Source organism: Homo sapiens, chromosome 6 (assembly GCF_000001405.40).
Source record: "Homo sapiens chromosome 6, GRCh38.p14 Primary Assembly".
NCBI lineage: Eukaryota > Metazoa > Chordata > Mammalia > Primates > Hominidae > Homo > Homo sapiens.
Genome location: NC_000006.12, coordinates 21,324,845 through 21,334,233, shown reverse-complemented (window position 1 = coordinate 21,334,233; position 9,389 = coordinate 21,324,845). Strand labels below are relative to the sequence as shown.

Sequence of the window (9,389 nt, the reverse complement as noted above, 5' to 3'; positions counted from 1 at the left end):
TGAGACCTTGTCTCAAAAAAAAAAAAAATTAATTAAACTAAGGTATAAAATCAGTATCACATACTTTTGAATGCAAATAAAAACCATTTTAGGCTATCCATGTAAAAGAAAAGAATGCTATTTAGTAATCAAATCCTTAACACTAGTTGATCATTTTCAGAGCATTATGGTGAAACATATATAATGTGAGTCCTGGTCAGTTTTCTAGCTTCTGGCACCAGCAACCCCTGTAAGCCACCTAGGCTATCTAGCTAGAGACCACAGGGTGGAATTTGACCAGTGGCCATCGAGTTATTACTAGTCACTGATGAAACACTCACAGAGTGTGTCCCCATATCAGCAACAGAAGAGGGAAAGAACAGCATGTGCTGTTTTCCCTACAGAATTTCTAGGAAATGTGTACGTCCTTCACTATGTATTCTGAGTTCAAGCTTTTCTCATACTATTTCCTGAGCTGCCTGGGCTGAGCACAGCCTAATCACTGGTGAGAGAGGACTCAAGCAGTGGCTTCCCTAAATGTCTGGACTCCGGCTTCAACAATCGGAAGGGCAGTCTCCTCACCTGTTGAAATAACGCTAATCACGCTGGTTGATTTTTACCAGCGAGTTCCAAATGCCTCTGGGTTGTGCCTTTCTGGAAAGCCCTAAAATAATAGGAACGTACAAAGTCAACTGTCTGAGTAGAGATGGTAGAGACAGACAGGCTCCCATTCTGCTGAAAGCATCAAAGCCCACAGAGACCCCGTAAACAGCAGTGGCAGGGGTGAAAGGAACAAGCTAAGTTTGGTTAAGGGCTTGGATTCCAGTCCTGGTTCTTCCATTGGCCAGCTGGGTGAGTTAGGTAAGTCACTATTTACTAGCTGAGTGAGTTGGATAAGCCACTATTTACTAGTTAGGTGGGTGGCGTAAGTCACTATTTATTAGCTGTGAGAGTGGGGTAAATCACTTAATATTTCTAAGCCAAGTTCCTTAACTGTAAAATGAAACTCATACAATACCTCCTTCGATGGATTGTTTGTAAAACTTACACCAAACCAAAGAAAAACCCCAAAATTTTCACTTAAAAAATTGTATAAGCTATCAAATGCTTTATAGATGTGATTTTCTTCCTTTTCCTTTTTAAGGCCAATCCTGGTTTTCGATTCAGAGTGTTCTTATTTTCACTGAGGTGCTGGATACGTCACCCTCACAGAGCTAATTTTATTCCAATGTATACAACGCCCAGACTTTCTGTTGAGGAGCGATCTACCTCCTCGGTCATGTGTTAGAACTTAATTCCACAGGAAAGAAAAAGAACTGTCTCTCTGTAGTGAAAGGGAGTTTTAAAAAATGCTAATGGAAAATGAGGCCACATCAGATATAAATGTGAGCTATTCTGCCCAGAAAGAGCTGGAGAGGATTTAGTTTGCTGTATCTATCAACGGGAGAGAAGCTGGGATGGTGGAGTCTTTTGCTGCTCCGCTGCGGGAGGACACAGATCCGGAAGTGCAGAGGCCCCATTCTCCTTGTCCCCCCTTGCTCCTTGGCTAGGGGACAGAGCCAAGAGTAGCTAATCTCCTCTCAATCTTTTCTTTTCTTTTTTTCTTTTTTTTTTTTTTGAGACGGAGTCTTGCTCTGTCGCCCAGGCTGGAGTGCAGTGGCGCGATCTCGGCTCACTGCAAGCCCCGCCTCCCAGGTTCAGGCCATTCTCCTGCCTCAGCCTCCCGAGTAGCTGGGACTACAGGCGCCCGCCACCACGCCCGGCTAATTTTTCGTATTTTTTAGTAGAGACGGGTTTTCACCATGTTTCGTGGCTGATTTTTTTAAAGCTGTTTAATACGCAGTACTTTCAATTCTCCTATTTATTCACTTAAACCCAGGGAAACAGAGAGCTGTGATTAGTGGCCACTGTTTTTACACCAAAGCCTTTGTGGGTTTGTGGCCAACAGAAACAGCAAGCATTAAAAGTTTAATTAATTGCTACCTTGCTACCTCTGCTGACCACAGGATGTAAGAACAGGAGAGGGTTTTGTTTGAGGTCAGTTGTTTACCGGGCTTTCCATCATTACCTACCTTGAAATAATTATGCCATCAAGCATTGGGGCAGATTAAAGAGGGGTAGGAAAAGAGGCTGACCAGGAAAAACGAAACTCAGAACCAAAATGCCTGCATTTGTTTGGCCACAGTCACATCCTTTGCGCTTCACCTTGGCCGACCTGCAGACCCAAGGGCACCCCTGTCTCATTCCCCTTCCGTAAGTGGGGTACCTGTGAATGCATTCATCATCCACTGCAGTAGCTCCATTTTGTCACTAGGAAGAATTGAGACTGGGAGTTGTTTGGAAGCAGATCTCTAACTCAAGGTCAAAGCATACAACAAGAATAATTGTGCAGCATAATTAAAGCTGGACTCCAAAGAAGGCTGGAACCCTCACTGTGTTTAAGGTGGGTACAGGGAGGAAAAGATGATATTCAAAGGCTTCAGCTTTATGAATATAAACCAGTCCTTTTTTTTTCTTTTCCTTTCTTTTCAAATATTTTCACCTTGTGCTATGAGACCCCTGGTGCACGCAGAACGTTATAAAAGGAATGCTAGGAGATGAGCTTTGTCTCATCACTCTTTTCTCCCATACTTTGAAGCGGGCCAAAACACTCCGCCTCTGTAATTGGCCAAGACCCAAAGCCTGCAAAGTGTTTTTGGAACTGGTATTTATTGTACCCTCTTCTGTGACTTGCCTTTAACAGCACACACGGCCCACCAAGGGACTTTCCCCTTCATGTTCAGCAGTTAGCACCGAATCTCCTTGGCAAGGCGCTCAGTGACTGCACAATCTCACACCTGCCAGCGCTGGAAAGTTCTGGAAACAAGGACTCTGTGCCAGACATTCCTTTGGAGCAAGAGCTTCACTTCATCCAGTTCCTCATTCTCCTGGCCGTCTGATGAATACCATTTTCTTGAACTTGGTTAAACTTTTGCAGTATTAGTATGCACAAAGCACACCCAGGAACTGATGAGGATGCCGAGTCCTGAGGGTTCTAACACTGGCACTGCCTTTTGTAAGGCCTCGCTTTGGTATCATGCCCCTCACTTCCCAAAGCGCCCTCATACCTGGCCTTGCTTTGTTCTTTATGTTTTGAATGTTTGCCTTGTGCCAGGTTTTGTGCTAGGCATTTTCCTAGATTTTATCTCATGTGATCCTACTGACTATTCTATGAGTGGATTATGGGAAGGTACACACCGTATGGATGAAAAACTTGAAGATCAGAGAGTGGAATGTTCCAGAGTTCAAAGTTGACCTTTTTCTGGAGTACATATAACCTATGTTAAATTCTGTGCTCCAGTTATAATTATTATTATAATTATTATTTGTTTTTTTGAGAGGGCGTCTCACTCTGTCGCCCAGGCTGGAATGCAATGGCGTGATCTCGGCTCACTGCAACCTCCACCTCCTGGATTCAAGCGATTCTCCTGCCTCAGCCTCCCCGGTAGCTGGGACTACAGGCGCCCACCACCATGCCCAGCTAATTTTTATATTTTTAATAGAGACGGGATTTCACCATGTTGGCCAGGATGGTCTCAATCTCTTGACCTTGTGATCTGCCCACCTCAGCCTCCCAAAGTGCTGGGATTACAGGTGTGAGCCACCTTGCCTGGTCAAGTTATAATTATTTAATTGACTGGAGTGAGCCCAACAGAGTACTGCAAGATGTGAATAATACCTCACAGTTTAAAAACAATGACTAGGCCGGGCTCCATGGCTCACGCCTATAATCCCAGCACTTTGGGAGGCCAAGGATGGCGGATCACCTGAGGTCAGGGGTTCAACACCAGTCTGGCCAACATGGTGAAACCCCGTCTCTACTAAAAATACAAAAAATTAGCTGGGCATGGTGGTGGGCACCTGTAATCCCAGCTACTCAGGAGGCTAAGGAAGGAGAATTGCTTGAATCCGGGAGGCGGAGGTTGCAGTCAGCCAAGATCGCGCCACTGCACTCCAGCCTGGGCGACAAGAGTGAAACTCCATCTCAAAATAAATAAATAAATAAAAACAATGACTAGTCATACCTATGCCCATGCATGGTCTCTTTATTCCTGGACAAGAGTCTGGCCTATATCCAGCCTTTCAGTTGGATAATATAGATTGAAACTAGAGGGAGGATGCTGGGTGCTTCTGCTATGAGCTCCTTGAGCACCCTCCAACTTCCCTGTAGTCTTTGTCATGCTCTATTAAAACTGCTGATTGTGAAAATTAACTGTATTTGATATTTTACAGAAGTAATACAATACAAGGTGTAGGGGAAAATAGGTAATTATCTACCCGATCCCATCTCCCTATGGTAACTAGATTAACATTGTGCTACGTGTCTCTACACATATTTCTCCTTGATCTTATAAAAACATACACGCTTATGCATATATTTATGAGTTTGCTGGCTTCTTTTCCACTAAAAGAGAATCATATCACTTTTATTACTCTAACTTTATTTACTTATTTTTGCTCAATAATGTATCATGTTATTAGATGATTTAGTGTAGGAGAGAAAAAGTAATATATTTTTCTCACTCATTGCAAGGTTTATGGCTGAGACCCCTGTAACAACTACAACAACAACAACAACAAACAGATTAAGAAGGGAAAAGCATAACACATTTATTGAAATGCATTTGTACATTGACTTAGGAACCTTCAGAAATGAAGACCCAAAGACCCAGAGAAAACTGTTTTTTGATACTTAGGTTAGCTGAATGAGCAGCCACAGCTGGATAAAAAGGGATGTGACCTAACGGTAATAAACTGGGGGAAACTTAGTAAGACTTGTTGGTTCAGATTCTTCTCTGTGTGTTCATTCTTTTCCTTCAGGCACAGGACAGGATATCTGCCACATGAGGGTCTTCAGGGGAAAAGGGAGGGAAAAGGTCAGAGACATCTTCCTGCTTCTGCTGTTTTTGCAAATGCCCCGGTGCCATATTTCGGGGTAGTATTTCCTGCACCCATCATTAGGATATTCCTGAGTCTAATTTTTCCCTAATTTCTTTATGCATATATAAGGAAGAAGCTGAGGCAAAATTAATATAAGCAGAGAGTTTATTTGGGCCAACCTTTTAGGATTGCAGCCTGGGACCATAGATTCAAGTCGCCCTTGCTATACACTCCCATCAGCAGCAGTTAAAATTGAGGTTTTTTTTTTCTTTTTTCTTTTTGAGACAGGGTCTCACTCTGTTACCCAGGCTGGAGTGTATGGCACAATCTCAGCTCACTGCAACCTCTGCCTCCCGGGTTCAAGGGATTCTCCTGCCTCAGCCTCCCAAGTAGCTGGGACTACAGGTGCCTGCCACTACGCCCAGCTAATTTTTGTATTTTTAGTAGAGACACGGGGGTGTCACCATGTTGGCCAGGCTAGTCTCGAACTGCTGACCTCAGGTGATCCGCCCACCTTGGCCTCCCAAAGTGCTGGGATTACAGGTGTTAGCCACTGTGCCCAGCCCAAAAGTGAGTTTTGGTTTTGTTTTGTTTTGTTTTGACAGAGTTTCCCTCTTGTTGCCCAGGCTGGAGTGCAATGGAGCAATCTCGGCTCACCGCAATCTCTGCCTCCCGGGTTCAAGTGATTCTCCTGCCTCAGCCTCCCGAGTAGCTGGGATTACAGGCCTGTGTCACCATGCCTGGCTAGTTTTGTATTTTTAGTAGAGATGGGGTTTCTCCATGTTGGTCAGGCTGGTCTTGAACTCTCGACCTCAGGTGATCTGCCAGCCTTGGCCTCCCAAAGTGCTGGGATTACAGGTGTGAGCCACTGCACCTAGCCTCCAAAAGTGAGTTTTTAAAGGGAAAGAAGACAGCTGGGCACGGTGGCTCATGCCTGAAGTGCCAGCACTTTGGGAGGCTAAGGCGGGCAGATCACTTGAGGTCAGGAGTTTGAGACCCACCTGGCCAACATGGTGAAACCCCATCTCTACTAAAAATACAAAAAAATTAGCCGGGCAAGGTGGCACACACCTGTAATCCCAGCTACTCGGGAGGCTGAGGCACAAGAATCACTTGAACCTGGGAGGTGGAGGTTGCAGTGAGCCGATATTGCGCCACTGCACTGTAGCCTGGGCGATAGAGCTAAACTCAGTCTTAAAAAAAGAAAAGCCATAAAGGGAAAGAAGAGACAGTTCCCGAGATGTTTACCAAAAATTTACATTAAAATCACATAAGCTGTTGATTGGCTATGCATCGTTCTTTGTACCACAGATTCCAGAAACATAAAGATAATGGTGAGGTAGCTAGTCGTGAACAAAATGACTTTAAACAATTGCCCCCAGGTATGGGGTTGGGGGCTTGACTGATATCCCGTACTCACATCTCTCTGGGCCTGCATACCTCACATAGCTTAGATTGCTTTGAGCTATTTTCCTTTTCTCATCACATATATGGGATAATATCATACAAGAAATAATGAATGCATAAACATTCCCATGGTGTGGCTGTATCCTAATTCATCTTTTGATCTCTTTGTTTCCAGTTTTTTGCCACTGTGAACAAAGCTGCAATAAACACTGTTGAATGTATGTCCTTAAATACCATTTCTGTGGGATAGATTCCCTGGAGTGCTGAGTTAAAGTATATGTGCATTTTATTTTTTATGGACGTGGCCAAATTACTTTCCTGAAAGGCTGTAACAACACTTCACATTTCAGCCGGCAAGATGAATACGTGAGCACCCTTCTCATCCACACTGTGGCTGGCATTTGGTATTTGTTGCTTCTTTGTTTAGTCTGCCTACTAGGTGTAAAGCGACACCTCATTGTTATTTTAATTGCATTTCCTTCACTACTGGAGTCGTTGAACACCTTTTCATGTTTCTTTACCATTTTAAGTTGCTTTGTGTTGAATTCCCTGCAATTGCTTGCTTTTCTGTCTCCCTGGAATATAAACTCACCAGGGCAGGTACCAAGTGTGTCTTACTACTCTGGTTGTTATTTCTGGTTCCTATGATAGTTGGCAGCAAATAGTAAATGCTCAATAAAAAGTTTTTCAACAAATGAGTGAATATCCTTCAACACAGCAATCCTCCTCCAGGAGCTACAGCCATGTTCCACATAATATTTCAGTCAACAACGGACCATATATACTACCGTGGTCCCATAAGATTATAATGCAGTTGAAAAATTCCTGCCACCCAGTGACATCGTAGCCATCATAACGTCATAGCACAGACATAACTCACGTGTTTGTGGTGATGCTGATGTAAAGAAACCTACTGTGCCACCAGTCATGTAAAAGTATAGCACATACAATTATGCACAGTACATAATTGATAATGAGAATAAATGATGATGTTGCTGGTTTATGTATTTACCATACTTTTTATTATTATTTTAGAGAGTACTCCTACTTATACAAAAAAAAGTTGGCCGGTCGCGGTGGCTCACGCCTGTAATCCCAGCACTTTGGGAGGCTGAGGCCGGTGGATCGCGAGGTTGGGAGATCGAGATCATCCTGGCCAACATGTTGAAATCCTGTCTCTACTAAAATACAAAAAATTAGCTGGGCGTGGTGGCGCGTAACTGTAGTCCCAGCTACTCAGGAGGCTAAGGCAGGGGAATTGCTTGAACCCGGAAGGCAGAGGTTGCCGTGAACTAAGATCATGCCACTGTACCCCAGCCTGGCAACAGGGCAAGACTCTGTCTCGAAAAAAAAAAAAAAAAGTTAACTGTAAAACAGCCTTAGGCAGGTCCTATAGGAGGTATTCTAGAAGAAGTCATTGTCATTATAGTAAATGACAGCTCCCTGTGTGTTATTGCCCCTGAAGACATTCCAGATGAACAAGATGTGGAGGAGGAAGACAGTGATATTGATGATCCTGACTCTGTCCAGGACTAGGCTCATGTGTATGTGTCTTCGTTTTTAACAAAAAAGATTAAAAAGTAAAAAAAAATAAAAATAAAAAAATTTAAAAATAGAAAAATGCTTCTAGAATAAAGTTATACAGAAAGAAAATATTTTTCTTATAATGTGTTTGTGTTTTAAGCTAAGTGTTACTACAAAAGAGTCAAAAAGTTTAAAAAATTAAAAAGATTATAAAATAAATAAGTTACAGTAAGCTAAGGTTAACGTATTACTAAAGAAAGAAGGCCAGGCGCGGTGGCTCACGCCTATAATCCCAGCACTTTGGGAGGCCAAAGCAGGTGGATCACCTGAGGTCAGGAGTTCAACACCAGCCTGGCCAACATGGTGAAACCCCGTCTCTACTAAAAATACAGAAAAATTAGCCAGGTGTGGTGGCTTGCGCCTGTAGTCCCAGCTACTCGGGAGGCTGAGGTAGGAGAATGGCTTGAACCTGGGAGGTGGAGGTGGCAGTGAGCTGAGATCGCTCCATTGCACTCCAGCCTGGGTGACAGAGCAAGATTCGGTGACAAAGCAAGATTCCATCGCAAAAATAAAGAAGGAAAAGGAAGGAAGGAAAGAAAGAAAGGGAAAGAGAGAGAGAAAGGAAGAGAAAGAATGAAGAAAGAAAGAATTTTTTGTTTTTACAAATTTTGTGTAGCCTAAGTGTACAGTGTTTCTAAAGTCTACAGTAGTGTACAGTAATATCCCAGGCTTTCACATTCACTCACCACTCACCAACTCACCCAGAGCAACTTCCCGTCCTGCAAGCTCCGTTCATGGTAAGCATGCTAGACAGGTGTACCTTTTTTTAATCTTTTATATCATATTTTTACTGTACTTTTTCTATGTTTAGCTATACAAATACTTCCTATGTGTTACAATTGCTTGGAATATTCAGTATGGTAACATGCTGTGCAGACTTGTAGCCTGGGAGCAATAGACTGTACTGTACAGCTTAGGTGTGTGGTAGGCTCTGCCAGAGGTTTGTGTAAGTACGTTCTATGATGTTTACACAATGACGAAATTGCCTAATGATGCATTTCTCAGGAGGTATCCCTGTCATTAAGTGATACATGACAGTATATTAAAGAAATAATAATGATTGTGTGCGAGAATTTATTCACAAGAATGTTCATTATAACATGGTAACTGGAAACAAACTAGAAGTTTTAATAAATGAAGTTATAAAATAAAATAATGATATTTGATGCAGAAAGAAAATAATAAGGACTATAATGGCTAACTTTAATTTCATAGATACTTTTAGGAAGTGTGTTAAAAGCTTTTTAGTAATTTTTTCTTATTTAATCCTCACAATATATTAAGTTTTAAAAAGCAATTATAACTCTGTATGCACAATATAATCCTAATCACTTCAAGAAACCCTTCTGGAAGCCTAGATAAATAACTGGAAAGATACACACCAAATTGTCCGTGGTGGTTTATTTGTGTGAATAAAAAAGTACAGATCATTTTTATTTTCTTTTTTGCTTATACCTACTTGTATTAAGTCTTCTCCACATTTTGTAACAAGAAAAAGA

The 9,389-nt window shown here is 42.4% G+C and overlaps 1 annotated feature.

Moving 5' to 3' along the window:
• Positions 6,409-7,252: an enhancer, noted in NCBI's record as "OCT4-NANOG-H3K27ac-H3K4me1 hESC enhancer chr6:21327213-21328056 (GRCh37/hg19 assembly coordinates)". NCBI's record gives its function as "activates a minimal SCP1, AML or CMV promoter by ChIP-STARR-seq in naive H9 embryonic stem cells {active_cell/tissue: H9 hESC(naive)}" and the evidence as "EXISTENCE:reporter gene assay evidence [ECO:0000049][PMID:30033119]".